General features: G+C 34.3%; 1 protein-coding gene across 29 annotated transcripts in view; it reads right to left on the reverse strand.

Annotated features, from left to right (window-relative positions):
• Positions 1-16,274, reverse strand: part of CADPS2 (calcium dependent secretion activator 2) — a 568,050-nt gene that overhangs the window by 255,156 nt on the left and 296,620 nt on the right. For all 29 annotated transcript variants that reach the window (NM_001363398.2, NM_001009571.4, XM_047421032.1 and 26 more), the window contains one exon: positions 7,613-7,724. In NM_001363398.2, the coding sequence (NP_001350327.1) occupies positions 7,613-7,724 (112 nt within the window). The remainder of the gene's footprint in view (positions 1-7,612; positions 7,725-16,274) is intronic.

The following is a 16,274-nucleotide window of genomic DNA, read 5'->3' on the forward strand; positions in this document are numbered from 1 at the left end:
CAGCTCTTTTTCTAACAACTGTCAGAAAGAATGTTTTCATAGCAACATTTCTAAAATTAAAAAATCATTTTGGTAAAATACCCAAAATGTACTTTGTACTCAAGAATACCATTCAACAAACTAAATAGTTACCAGGAATATATTACACAGTAATTCATTCACAAATAAAAGTGCACTGGCAGCCAGATAGTACCCTAAGAAGATTCAAACATTTTATAAAATGATATAAACTGTATGTCTAAAATGACTATGTATAAAAATACTTTAGCTTAAATAATATTTGATTTCTGAAAAATCTCTGCAATGACTGAACCTGCAATTTCTTCAAATGGTTTTCACTGTAAGAATAAAAATAAGAAATTTTATCTTCTATTGCACTGGGTTACTTTTGAACAGAGTATTCAGACATACACACTTACTGGAATACATTCTAAAGACAAATCAAATGGCAAAAAAAATGTTTATCTTTACTATGTAAGTTTGTTGGTGGTGGCACTGACACGGTATTTTTGAAATTATTTACGCAAAATGAGTAAATATATTGATGTCGTTGAGAAGCAGTAAACTCATGTTTTAAAAAAAAATGTGTATTTCTTGGGCTGGGAACAGTGGCTCATGCCAGGAATCCAAGCAATCTGGGGGGCTGAGGTGGGAGGATTTCTTGAGTTCAGGAGTTTGAGACCACTCTTGGCAACATAGTAAATCCTTGTTCTACCAAAAAATCTAAAAATTTGCCCAGCACGGTGGCATACACCTATGGCCTCAGATACTCTGGAAGCTGAGGTAGGAAGATCTCTTGAGCCTAGCAGGTGGAGGCTGCAGTGAGCCACGATTGTGCCACCGTACTCCAGCCTGGGTGATAGAGTGAGACCCTGTCTTAAAAAAAAAAAAAAAAAAAAAAAGTATATTTCTCAACTAAGAAGTGTTGATACATATGTAGAATGTTAGTTTCTAAATTCCATCATCACTAAAAACAACCAGTGCTAATAACAGGCCTGGGGCAGGGAGAGTACAAGTTGAGCCTCTAAAATTTCATGTCCCAGAAAGCAAAGACCAATAGGTACATGATTTAAAAGAAAAAAAAAACATATTGGTGCTGTGGGGGAAATTTTTAAAAAAGGAAAAGGAAGATAGTAAAGGAACACACATACGCAAATGCATACACACAACTTTGACACAATCTGATCATGAAAAAATAACAGACACAGACTATAACACACAAATTTTTTTTAAATCTATGAATCTTTAGCTAAAACACTGAGTGAAAGGTGGTTAGAGAAACTCTAATAGTAACACCCCACAGCTTATTAAAATCAAAACAGAAAATGATATCTTTACGATGGAGAGAACTGGCAGATGCCACCTTAACCAAGTGATAATACTTAATTAAAATCCCCAATATTAGAAAAAACTGTCACTCTGTAACTTTTGATAAGATGCAACGGGAAGCACAAAACATTATGTAGGTGGATGCTTGGCAAAGATGTTTACCTAAAACCAGTCATGAAAAAAATAGTCTTATTTTTTTCTTATTCTGGATTTTTCTAATCCAGAATAAAGAACATTTTATAAGACTAATTTGGATGCTTAAAAATGTCATTATAATAAAAGTAAAAAAAAAAGGTGGTGGGAGCATCTAAAATAAAGGAGACTGAAGAGCTACAACAGCCCAGTGCAATGTATGATCCTGGATTCTATCCTAGACTGGGGGAGAATACCAGCTTTTATTGACATGTTGGGATAATTAGGGAACTCTGAATATTGACTGCATAGCACATATTTCTGAATCAATATTAAATTTCTTAGGTGTAATGAAGAAATTGAAGTGATGTAAGGAAATGTTCAATTCTTTTTCTTTTCTTTTCTCTTCTTTTCCTTTTTTTTTTTTGAAATGGAGTCTAATTCTGTCACCCAGGCTGAAGCACAGTGGCACGATCTCGGCTCACTGCAACCTCCCCCTCCAGGGTTCAAGCGATTCTCCTGCCTCAGCCTCCCAAGTAGGTGGGATTACAGGTGTGCACCACCACACCCAGATAATTTTTGTATTTTTAATAGAGATGAGGTTTCACCATGTTGGCCAGGCTGGTCTCAAACTCCTGACCTCAGGTGATCTGCCTGCCTCGGCCTCCCAAAGTGTTGGGATTACAAGCATGAGCTACTGCACCTGGACAGAAATGTTAATTTCTTAAACAGTATATGCTGAGGCATTTCATAAAATATTTAAAAGCCTTTTTTATTATAAATGTTTATAATAAACACTATAGACGTTTTACGTTTTAGAATAATTTAAGACTTACAGAAAAGTTGCAAAGATAGTATAGAGACTTTCTGTACACTCAGTTTCCCTCAGAATGAATAGTATACATTACCATGGTACATTTGTTATAACCAAGAAACTTACATTGGCACATTACTATTAACTGAATTCCAGATTTTATTTGGATTTCACAAGTTTGTTCATCAATGCCTTCTTTCTGTTCCAAGGTCCAATCCAGGGCAGCATATTGCATTTCGTTGTCATGTCTCCTTAGTCTCCTCTGATTTGTGACAGTTTCTCACTTTTCTTTTTTATGACCTTGACAGTCTGGAAGAGTACTGGCCAATTATCCTGTATAATGTCACCAATCCATGTTTGTCTGATGATTAGCCTGGGTTTTGGGGCAAGAATACCACAGGGGCAAAGTGTCCCTTCTCAAATCATAATAGAGAGCATAGGATATCCACATGACATCAGTGGTAGTGGTCATCTTCATCACTTGGTTATCAAGAGAGTATTGGCAGCATATGTTTCCCCCTTAGGTTACTGAGGTCTGTTTCTTTTCTCATCACCCCTTTCAGTGGAGCTATGTCATACCTGTAGAGTACAACTAATTTCATCTGTCTCAGTCTCTATCCTATGTTGGCACCCTTTTGATGCTGCTGGTTGATGTGTTCATTAGGGAAGTGTGTGTGTGTTCATGTTAGTGTGCATACATTAATGTACATTCTTTGTAACATAAAGTTCTATACCTCTTGGCAAATACATACAAGTATGCATCTGATATGGTTAGGCTTTGTGTCCCCACCCAAATCTTATCTTGAATTGTAATTCCCATAATCTCCATAATTTCCACAAGTCAAGGGAGAGACCAGGTGGAGGTAACTGGATCACCGGGATGGTTTCCCTGATCTGTTCTTGTGATAGTCAGTGGGTCTCAGGAGATCTGATTTTTTTTTTTTTTTTTGAGATGGAGTCTTGCTCTGTTGCCCAGTGGCGCGATCTCGGCTCATGAAACCTCTGCCTCCCGGGTTCAAGTGATTCTCCTGCCTTAGCCTCCTGAGTAGCTGGGGTTACAGGTGCCCACCACCACGCCTGGATAATTTTTTGTATTTTTAGTAGAGATAAGGTTTCACCATGTTGGCTAGTCTGGTCTTGAACTCCTGACCTCAGGTGATCCCCCTGCCTCGGCCTCCCATAATGCTGGGATTATAGGCATGAGCCACCATACCTGGCCTGATCTGGTGGTTTTATAAGCTTCTGGCATTTCCCCTGCTTGCACTTATTCTCTCTCCTGCCACCCTGTGAAGAAGTGCCTTCCACCATGACTGTAAGTTTCCTGAGGCTTCCCTAGCCATGCAGAACTGAGTCAATTAAACCTCTTTTCTTCATAAAATACCTAGCCTTAGGTATTTCTTCACAGCAGCGTGAGAATGGGCTAATACTGCGTATAACACACAGTACCACACAGAACAGTTCCTTCACTCTAAAAGTCCCCTGTGTACCCCTTTCTGGCTGACAACCCACCTCAGCTCAATTCTTGGCAAACTCGCAACTGTTGTCTACCCCTATAATTTTCTAGAATGAATGGAATAATAAAATATGTCATCTTTTGGGTTTGACTTCTTCCATTTGCATTTACATTCGTCTATGCCACTGCATTAATTAATAGCTTGTTTCTATTATTGAATAGTATTCCATTGTATGGATGTGCCACGGTTTTATTCACTTGCTGACTAAAGAACATCTTGGTTGCTTCCAAGTTTTAGTGATTAAGAATAAAGCTGTTTAAACATTCACACACAGATTTTTGTGTTGACACAACCTTCATAAACCCTTTGGTAAATATCTAGGAGTACAATTTTTGGATTGTATAGTAAGTCTATGTTTAACTTTATACAAAAAACTGGTAAGTTGTCTTCCAAAGTGACTACAATTTTGCACTGCCACCAGCAATGAGTAAGAGTTTCTGTTCTGCATTCTCACAAGCACTGTCAGTTTTTCTGCATTTTCGCCATTTTAGTAGGTGTACAGTGGTATCTTGCTGTGGTATAAACCTATTTTAAGTGCTCTGTTGTTCATTTTCAAATTTAAATGCTACCCGAATTTTTAATTAAAAAAACTTCATGTTGAAACCAAGCTCCCCAGATATACTATTCATAAAACTTTATCTACAGATGTCAGATCATGTAAGGTTTTTTCTTTTAACTTAATAGAAGTTATTTGTTCTAATTAGAAAAGTAGATATATATATGTGTATATATATACACATATATATACACAAAAGTATATATATTTATGTATATACTTTTGTATATACTTAATATGTGTATATATACACACATACATTATGTATACCAACAATATACATTATTGGTAATGTGTGCACATATATATATACCCACACACACATATATAAAACCAGTAGCTCTACCATCCAGAGACGAACACCAATTTTTTCCAATTGTGTGTGTGCACATGTGTGTTCAGATTAAAACACATGTAACAACCTAAAGTCTAAAGCAGGTATGAGTGTACAATGTTTGAGGAAAAGAAAGAAAGCACGGTGTAAGGAAAGAATGACAGTAGGCAAGGAGGTTATAACAGAAGATGAATTTGGAGACAGAAGTCAGTTCATGTAGATCAGGGATTCTCCAACTTTGGTGTGTCTTAAAATCTTTAGGAGGGCTTATTAAAACAGAAGGTAGCCCTGCACCCCTGGGGTTTCTGACTCAGCAGATCTAGAGTGGGGTCTGAGAATTTGCATATCTAATGTGCAGGGCCACACCTGAGAACACCTGTCGGGCCTGCTACACTATAATGAGGAGTCTGATTTTTATTCCAAATAAATTGGAAGACATTGGAATATTTTAAGGACAGAATGTTGTGATTTGTTTTGAATTTTAAATAGATCATAGTGACTGAGGTATGAAGGTCAAATCAGAGAGAACAAGGTGGTAAATGGGAAAATAGTAAACAGACTCTTTATGTGAAATGATGGTGCTTTGAATTAGGGTAGTGGGGATATTAATAAATGGATGGATTCAGAACAAATACAGAAAAAGCTCACAGAAGTTGCAAATGGATCTGGTGCTAGGGTGAGAAAAGGGGAAACAAGGGAGATGTCTAGGTCACAGGCTTATTTAATAACTGCCTCTATGGAAGGCTTTATGGGGATACAAGTCATAAGTTCTATTACAAAAATATGTGGTTTGAGATATCAATATACAATTGGAAATACTGAGTACGGAAGTTGGATACACAAATCTGAATCTACAAGAAAAATAGTAACAATTTGTAAGTCATTAGATACAAATGATATTTATAATCTTCCAACCTATTGAGGTCATTAGTATAGATTAATGGCTCTCAGGCAGGGTTGATTTTGCACTACCCTCCAGGAGACATTTAGCAATGTCTGGAGACATTTTTTATTTGACTAGAGGTTAGGGATGTTGTTAAATATCATAAAATATACAAAAAAGCACCTGCCAACAAAGAATTACCCTGCTCAAAACATCAATAGTGCTAAGGTTGGGAAACCCTGTAATAGATAGAAAAGTTGTCTTTCTAGTATGAAGAGAGTAAGGGAGCATAAGCGGTTTCTCAGATATAAAATTGCATCGAATATATATATATATATATATATATATATATGTCACTTATGTATCCAATTTAGAAACTGCTTAACTATATTATTTGACCAGCTGATAAACAAATTAAAAATAGCTCAAGAATTACTTATAGCATTAGACTTAAAATGGCTGCTGTTAAACAGTGAGATATAGTTACAATAAGAAAAGTAACATTAATTTTACCCTTAAAATTAATATAATAATAGTTTAAATGAAAAACCCTGATTAATAAAAAGACCATATGTTGTCTCCAAAGCTCTTGTATTAGATTATGCTACCTGCACACCTTTGTTCAATGAAAACAAATGCACAAATACGTAAGCACATGACTGAATGAGCAGTAACACAGCTCTCTTAGGTATTAACAAATACACATATCAATAAAATGGAAGAGGAAATCTGGATTATGAATGCAGAGTCAAAATCTCTGGAGTGTAGATACAGACTTACAAATCCCTAGAAATAGAAAAATTCCAAGAGTATAAAGGAGGTAGAAGAAAAGGGTCTGAAACTAATAGAAATCCTGACTTCAGTTTTTTAAAAAATTTCTAGTATACAGAATGATCCTAGCATCTTTTTGCATCTAGCACTGTACAAGCAGTCCATTAATACCAGACAGAAATTTTCAAGTAAGATTTCTGAAGGTTTTATTTGCTGGAAAATATCTCTGAATACAGTCTTCAGGTCTAGGTAAGATAGGTTCACATTACAGAGGGCGGGTGTTGGTGGCTTATGCTTGTAATCCCAGCATTTTGGGAGGCTGAAGCGAGTGGATCACTTGAGGTCAGGAGTTCAAGACAAGCCTGGCCAAGATGGTGAAACCCCATCTCTACTAAAAATACAAAATTTAGCCAGGCAAGGTGGTATGTGCCTGTGGTCCCAGCTACTTGGGAGTCTGAGGCACAAGAATCGCTCGAATCTAGGAGGTGGGTTGCAATGAGCCGAGGTTGTGCCACTGCACTCCAGCCTGGGCAACAGAGCAAGATTCTGTCTCAAAAAAAAAAAAAAACCCATTAAAAAATTCACATTACAGAAGACATCTTCATATAGACTACTCAATTAGAACACCTACTTCATTTATAAGTCTGAAGATGACCTTTCACACAGATTTACCTAATGTTAATGCTTTTACTGACAGCACAAGCTGAGTATAGTAAGGGTATACTGGGATTAGAAGGTAAACATATATATATTCTAGGTATGAAGAGGTGACTATAGGAAAAGAATAATGTTAAAAGGTGTGAGAAAAAGGGCTTTTCATGGGGAAAGTGGAAAAGATAAGAGAGACAGATGCACTTCGGAGATATTCTGTGATTAATCACAATGAACATGAAGAGCAGATGATTTCAAATATAAAGATGATCCTTTGAACCCAGGGACAAAAATATGTTACATGAGAATTACCCTTCACCAAGAGCAAGTTGGCCAGCACCATTCACATTCAATGGCCAGTGGAGCACATGTGTGAGAATGACTGAGTTGGTGACAAGGAATTTGTATTTACCCCTTACACAACCAAATCCTATCACAATACTTTCTGTGTTATAGACAATTAGATTTAATAAATTAGAGGTGTATACTGGGCTTGTGGGAAATAACAAATTATTTTATGTAATTTATGAACATAAAGTTCACATATGGCATACTGATCTACCTTAATCATGAATCCAAAGAAGTTAAAACTGTTCTACCCTGGACACACAGGCTGACCACAACTCACCCTTCCCAGTTCTTTATCTTCCAGGGCCAGAACTCCAGTGCTTTCTGTGAAGAGTTTCACTTTGACCACAGGCCGAGGATGGGTGGTGGTGAAATCTCCTTGAGTCCCCCATCTGTAATGAAGTAAAAAAAATGTTTCTTAAAATGCAGCATTATTTTTTTCCCCAAGGAGATGTGTCTCCATAGAAGGCAAATTAAATACAGAATCTTCTGTGCTCAATGAGCTTTTTATCTTTGCTTTTGTTTCTAGCAGATGGCACAATCAAGAAGGAAAAGAACAATAAGCTTTACAGCTTGTAATAGTTACTCAGCTATTCAAAAAATTAGCATGTTGGACTATAAAAAATTGCATGTTATGAGAATTTAGGTTAAGGTAAAGCAATATAGTTGTAGCTATTGAAATCTATTACTTTATTAATTCAAATGTAAATTATAGCACCATTTTTACTGGCAGCTGGGAAAATTGCTCAGGGTTTGTTTACGTAAGAGAGAGTTTCTCAGAAAATGATTTTTATATACTAAAGACTTTACCCCACCTGAGAGGTCTTTATTAAACATTATCTTTTTTTAAAGTAAGCATAATTATCTCAGATCTATTACTTCATATGACTTTTGAAGCTCCTGCCAAAAAGAAAGAAATATGCATCATAAGAATCTGAATGTTTTGTAGTTAATTTCCCACTACATTCTCTTAGGAAGGGAATAAGTCTGTAGACATCTGGCTTTTGAAATCATCACAACAAAATAACATGCTTTCTTGGCTTATCTCTTAATTAATAGCATCTTGCCTTTATTGCAGACCAGTTCATTCTACCTGATTTACAAACTTAACTGGCACACACCTGATATTAAAAAATCTTATCAATATTTCTCACAACTCTGAGAGATCAGATGCAATGAGACTCAGCACAGCATGAAGAAGATGCCATTGAGCAAAATACCAGAGAAAAAAATGAGATTTAACAAAATACAGATCATGTTAAAAATAAAACAACAAATAAATATCAATTTTCTTATGCTGTCTTGAAAAAACAAAACAATTCACCATTTTCACGGAGCTGTCTACATTTTATTTTATAAATCTCATTCGGAGAGCTTACAACATACAGAAAACTCAGTAAAGCAGGTATAATAAAAATTGAACAAATAATTGTGATTGCCTTCCTCTCCTATCACAGCATTTATAATAAATGTATACAGTAAAGCAGAGACCATTTCAATGACTGAAGAAACTGGCATCTAGATGCAGTCTTTTTTTTTGAAATATCATAAGCCAGAGGGAAGAGAAGAATCAATTAGGGAAGAAAACAGCTTAATTTCTATTTTAGACTTCCAGAATGGGGTTAGCAAAGAGACTTTTTGCAATTTCATATAATTAAGATGGTTTACATAAAGCAATGGTAAAATAGGAATAAAAACAAAAATAGATTCAGAACCAAAATAAGGCATAAAGAAAAATTCTCAGTTTAGTGTTTGGAATCTTAAGCCTTGAATATAGTCAGGCAATGTGGTTAACAGCCTGGGAGCTAATTCTCATGACATACCCTTTTAAATTCAGTGTCACATGGTTAAATTTAGAAGACTAATAACCTTGGGAGGCATTCTCTTATAACTGAAATAAAAGATTTTTGATAGTCATATAGAAACAGTCTAATAGGTTTCCATAGAATTTGCTTTTTAAAATCCTCCCCATAAAACTTCCATGTATTACACTGATTTTTTTCCTCTAATTTCAAAATCCTTTGAAACTATTTACACTACATGTTCATTTTTAATTCCCAAACCTCCTGCAATACATGATTCTTCAAAGAGAAAAGTGAACTTTGTCTTTGAACCTGGTCCTTCTGAAATGCATCCCAATTCCACTTTGCTGGATAGAATAAGACAAATAACAATGAATGCGGAGGAAAAAAAAAAACTGCTCACTCATGGTTCCATGAACTTCCAGAGAACTATCTTTTACCTTTGATCCTTCACAGACAAGTATATTCAAAAACTATTCTACAATATTTATCACCATAGCACATTTCTCATTTATGCATTAAAATATTTTTATACAATGATATATTTTAAGTGTCCATAAAATGAGATTCAGTTAAAGAATAATGATAAAGTGAAAACCAACATTCCTGCCATTCAGGTTAAGATGGGGAATGTACTAGAACATTAGGAAAGCCCTTGTGTGCCCCTGGTCTCATCTTCCTCTCCTCTCCACCGTCACTACTCTGAAGTACCTAGCATCCTGAATTTTATATTTATCACTCCCTTGAATTTCTTCTTAAAAGGAATATTTTCAGCATTTTACCTTTAAGTGTGATAACTGCTCTAGGTTTTCAGTAGTCTTTTATAGGTAAAAAAAATTCCCATATTTATTAGACACACACATAAATATATCAGAATATATGTGTGTGTATATATATGTAATATATGCATATGATATATACATAATATATAAAAAATATATATCACAATTATATATGAAGGAGATATTGTACGTGTGTATATACGTATATACATATGTCCTTCATATCATATACCTCACAATAGCATATATAACAGACATCCTAACACACATACATCATGTACATAACAATATCATATACATAACATACATATCATATACATCACATCATATACATATGCATATGTATATTCATATCATATACATCACATCATATACATATGTATATAACATATGTGTATATATACATACACTCACACACATATAAAGATCCAGAAATGAGTGCTCTAGTTTATGAAACATTTCCCTACATTTATTGAAATAATCTGTAATTATAGTAGATTACTCTATTGTCTTCCTTTCTTGAGATAAACTTTAAAAAAAATACTAGAATGAGTAGGCTAATACTTTATTTAGCCTTTTATATAATGTCCATTATTGAGACTAGCCTGTATATTTACTTTTTTGTATTCTCCATGTTTGGTTTTATTGCATAAGTTGAAAAGTGCTATATTTTTATTATCTGAAAGAGTTTGTCAAAAAATGATAATTATCTGTTCCTATAACTCACCTATTAAGCTATTCAAACCTGATATTTCTGTATGGGAAGATACTTGCTAATGAAGTGATTTCTTTATTGGTTGTAGCTACAGAATTACTCAGGTTTTCTCTTTCTCCTTGAGTGAATTTTGATAAGCACTAAGTTTTATGTTATTTATTTCATCTAAGTTTTTCAAAAGTACTTATACAAAGTTGTAAATTTTTTCATCTTTGAATCCTTATAGCATCTGTTATGTCCTTCTTCATTCTTAATGTTTTCTTTTTTCCATTTTTAAACTTAACAGAGGTTCATCACTTTTATTGTTCTTTTCAAACTCCTGTCACTTGACTTTGACAATCCTCTCTACTTCATGTTTTTTATTTTATTGCATTCTGCTCTTTGCTACATTATTCTAATTTATCTATTTTAACCCTGCTGTTTAAAATTTTAAGTTGAATGCATGGTCATTAATTTTAAGCCTTTCTTCCATTCCGGGCAAGCATTTGTGACTATAAATTTGCTTTAAACACTTTAACTACAGCACCCCATAAATTTAGAAAGTGCTATTTTTACTATCATTCAGCTGTTTACAGGTGTGATTTAGAATTTCTCTCTATATATATCTTTTCCTTTTTCTTATTAAGTTCTATTTTTATTACATCAGATTAGATAGCATAGCCTGCATAATATTGATCATGTAAAATAATTGAAATGGGCTTTAATTTCCAGATTTTGTGTGTCTAAGTTTTCCATGAGTGCTCACAAAGAAAAAAAAATTCTCCATTATGGGTACATTATTGTATTTATGGCCGGAGGTTCTACTTACAAGGTTTAGGACTTCTGAGTCAAGGGGAGGAAATGCTAACGAACACCTCCTGTGAAATGAAGAAGGCTTAAATAACGTGTTCTCAGGCAAAGGAGAAGCTGAGGCACAAAAATACCAGCAGATCCTGACTGCAGCAGGCCAGAAGACAAAGCTTTTACTGACATTCAACAAAAATGTACAATTTTAAGGGGGTGCATAAATAGTTATTTATAAATATTTATCCTTGTATCCTGGAAAGTTGGGATTTATCATTTCTTTATAAGAAACAATAAATAAGAAACTTTCTTATAAAGAAAATATAAATCCCAACATTCCACGATACAGGCATAAATTGGCACCAATTTGATAATTTCTTCTTTGGGAAATAAAAGTTGAAAAGACACAGTTAGAAAAATCATAAATTCTAGAATGAATAAATTAAAAACACAAGCCTCCCCAAACCCCACTCAACAAAGGAAAAAAAAAAAAAAAAGGCAGGAAAAGAGGAAAGAAGACAATAGGCCTACCTTCAATATTCACCAAGACATCTCCTTATTTTCTACTTAATTGGCATATTTAAACCCTGTCGGTAATTAATACCAGTTATTGTCTTCCCATTTTCTCAATATTTTATGACAAAAGAATACATTATCTTGCTGTCATTTTGTGTTGACTCAAAACGTATTGCCTTTCTCCACTTCTCTGAATGTATTATTTATGAGGATTCAGAATTCCAAGGTAAATGTTCGAATGAATAAAAATCTACAAAGCACCTTTACGAGAACAGCAGGACTTCCTGGCTTTGAAAACACAGGGTAATTCATATACCAACTGAAATAACTGACATTAATTATGTATTTGCTATTAAATAAAGGGTACTGGAAATTTGTATCAGGAGCCAAAATACATGTTCATATCTTTTAACCTAGTAAGGTTATTTCTAAGGACTTATCCTATCAAAATAATTGTAAGTATTAAAAAGAGTCTAAGCAGAAACATTCATGACAGCATTATGTATAACAGTAAACACTTAAGCAAGATAAATATAAAATATTAGGGGAATGATTATGTAAATTATGGGGCATGTGATGAACTATTTTGCTACTTTATAATGATGGCTATAATGGCAACATAAAACCATGCATGATATAAAGTGAAAAAGAGGGAGGATACAAAACTGAACGTGCACATTTTATTCATTTAAAAAAATGGAGTACCTTTTATGTGGAGATGACATTCTAGTGTGAGCAACCGAAGTCCCTATCCCCTTGGGATTTCTATTCTAATAGGAGATTTTAGATAATAAATAATTATACTGTAACATATATTCCTTCTCACTCCTGCCCTGCCTTCTCAACAGGTTGTATATTTCCATGGTCTCTTACAGTAGCTAGAGCACTAGATATAACTTGTGCCCACTTTTGACCTGTCTGAAAGTCGATAGTGATATGAAATGACAGTTTTAATTTTCCACATGTCCTAAACTCATTTGGGTAAGAAATCAAATATATTTATAAAATTATATAAACTTGGGTTTGGTTTTGAGCTTTATGTTCTGCAGATCTCTCCTGAGCCGAGTTACCCTGTTTTAATTATTGCAGCTTTGCAAGATGTTATGTTATCTGTTAGAACACAAAGAAAACAGACATTTTCATCTTATTTCTATTCAACAAAAAGGGAAGGGAGGTGGTGTCTCTGTTAAACTCTGTTCTAACATTTATTACTGGAATCTTAAACTTTTTTCTTCATTATGTAGAAAAAAACACACATTCCTTAATTTATTTCACAGTATTTAATATATCGGGATCCTAAAGAATCTATTTCCTTTATATTGTCTGACTGTTGCACATATGTAAGAAAGTTATGGTTAAACTCTAATCATTTTTCAAATGATTTCATTTCCAATACAGTGAGTGCTTTTAAAAATTATTTGTCACCAAATAACCAATTAACTCTATTAAAAAGATTATTAAAATTATCAAATAAAAATGACATATATTCCAAATGCATCACTAATTTTATAACAGAAAACATTAAATAAGGATCCAGCAACAGGGATATAAATGAAAGCCTATAAAAAATTACAAATAATTCTTATGATTTTTCATGCTGAATTTTTTTTTTTTACTTTTTTATTTTTAGTTCTGGGGTACACGTGCAGGTTGTGCAGATTTGTTACATAGGTAATGTATGCCACAGTGGTTTGCTGCGCCTATCAACACATCACCTAGGTATTAAGCCCAGCATGCATTAGCTATTTTTCCTAATACTTTTCCTCCTCCCATCCCACCCCATGACAGGCCCCAGTGTGTGTTGTTCCCCTCCCTACGTCCATGTGATCTCACTGCTCAGCTCCCACATATAAGTGAGAACATGTGGTGTTTGGTTTTCTGTTCTTGAATTAGTTTGCTGAGGATAATGGCTTCCAGCTTCATCCATGTCCCTGCAAAGGACATGATCTCATTCCTTTTTATGGCTGTATGGTATTCCATGGTGTATATATACCACATTTTCTTTATCCAGTCTATCATTGATGAGCATTTGGGTTGATTCCCTATCTTTGCTGTTGTGAACAGTGCTGCAATGAACATATGCATGCATGTATCTTTGCAACAGAATGATTTATATTCCTTTGGTATATACCCAGTAATGGGATTGCTGTGTCAATTCCATGTCTTTGCTATTGTGAATAGTGCTGCAATGAATATATGTGTGCATGTATCTTTGTAACAGAATAATTTATATTCCTTTGGGTATATAACCAGTAATGGATTTCTGGTTCTAGGTCTTTGAGGAATCGCCACATCATCTTCCACAATGGTTGAACTAATTTACATTCCCACCAACAGTGTAAAAGTGTTCCTATTTCTCTGCAACCTTGCTAACATCTGTTGTTTCTTGACTTTTTAATAATCACCATTCTGACTGGCATGAGATGGTATCTCACTGTGGTTTTGACTTGTATTTCTCTAATGATCAGTGATGCTGAGCTTTTCTCATGTTTGTTGGCTGCATGAATGTCTTCTTTTGAACAGTATCTGTTTATGTCCTTTGCCCACTTTTAAATTTTTTTTCTCGTAAATTTTTTTCTTGTAAATTTGAGTTCCTTGTAGATTCTGGATATTAGACCTTGCTCGAATGGATGGATTGCAACGATTTTCTCCCACTCTGTAGGCTGTCTGTTCACTCTGATGATAGTTTCTTTTGCTGTGCAGAAGCTCTTTAGTTTAATTAGATGCCATTTGTCAATTTTTACTTCTGTTGCAATGGCTTTTGTCAATTTTATCATGAAATCTTTGCCTAAATGGTATTGCCTACATTTTCTTCTAGGGTTTATATACTTTTGGGTTTTACATTTAAATCTTTAATCCATCTTGAGTTAATTGTTAATAAGGTGTGAAGAAGGGGTCCAGTTTCAATTTTCTGCATATGGCTAACCAGTTTCCCCAGTATCATTTATTAAATAGGTAATCCTTTCCCCATTGCTTGTTGTCAGGTTTGTCACGATGAAATTTTTAAAACAATCCAACTCTAGTTAAATTATCCTTCTTAAAATTTAGCCATTTTAAGATTAAAATGATATAACAGATTCTTCTAATAATAGAATAAAAGTTTTGGTTCAAAACTCAAACATTCAGTATTTATTTGGTAGCATTGATTCTGATATTCTCTTGGGAAGTAGAAAATCTTTCCAAAAGTTTCCTGCACTGGACTTTAACTAGGTCTAAGGTCTTTCTGCTGTCCTATGAGAGATTTGCTGAAGAAACTGACTTTGGATTCACTCAATTCATGAAAATGAGTAAGGACTGTGTTATTTTCATTGACTCATATTTGGTGAGAAGGTAGATGGGCACCTCCCCCAAACTCATTATGATGAATCAAGAGGAAATAAAGATTCTTGAAAATAGGATAGTGAGTTGATCAGAAAGGCCTGATGGTATTCTCAAGGGTGTCAAGCAATATCATTTTTAACCGCATGCCTTCTTGAGAACTGGGAGCCAGGAAACTTGCCTGACTGAAAGCATACAATGTGTCTCTGCTCTTGCAGCTATGTTTATGCCAATGAGCTGTAGTATCCTTTAGTTTCATTAAAGAAATCTGTATGTGTTGGTGTCTTTCTATTAGTCATTGCCCTGCACATAATGGCCACATATACTCCAAAGCCATGCTGAAGTCACTGGGAAAATGTGTATGTTTAATAGATGTGTAAAATGTACCAAGTAGACACAATATCCCACCTTTACTAATAAACAGTATTATCTCCTTTTAATTGAATAATGTAACAACCTCTGAAAATTGGGAATTAAGTTTAACAAGAGAGAAATACAAAAAGCCTGATTATCAATTATATAAATGGAAATTAAATAATAAAACACTAAAAGACTTATAAAACAATGTTAAGCACTGTACAAATGTTTTTAAAAATAGCTTTCTTCATTAATATAAGCAATTAAGGCAGTCTTGTGGAAAACTCTAAGCAGAAAACAATACTTACGGAAGAGCAGCTTTTAATATTTTAAAAGTTCAACACAGGGCCCAAGTATATAAAAGGCTTATATAACACTAATGTACTTCAGCCAAAGACTCAGTGAAAAATGACGAAGATAAGTAAGTTTTCATGGGAACATGGGTGGCTGCTGACACGTCGTTTACTATGATCCAAACTATAAGAGATAAAGAAACTTATCTTGGGAAATTCAAGTGCTTGATTCCAATAGGCTGTTGCAAATCCAGATACAGATTTGGGAGTGATTAACATAGAAACTGTTGTATAAACTATGAAAATGAATGAGCTTATGAAGGGTGCCCACTAATAATGATAGTAGGGACTTCTACCTTACAAGTATGGGCTTATA

The sequence above is a fragment of the Homo sapiens genome, chromosome 7, assembly GCF_000001405.40.
Source record: "Homo sapiens chromosome 7, GRCh38.p14 Primary Assembly".
NCBI lineage: Eukaryota > Metazoa > Chordata > Mammalia > Primates > Hominidae > Homo > Homo sapiens.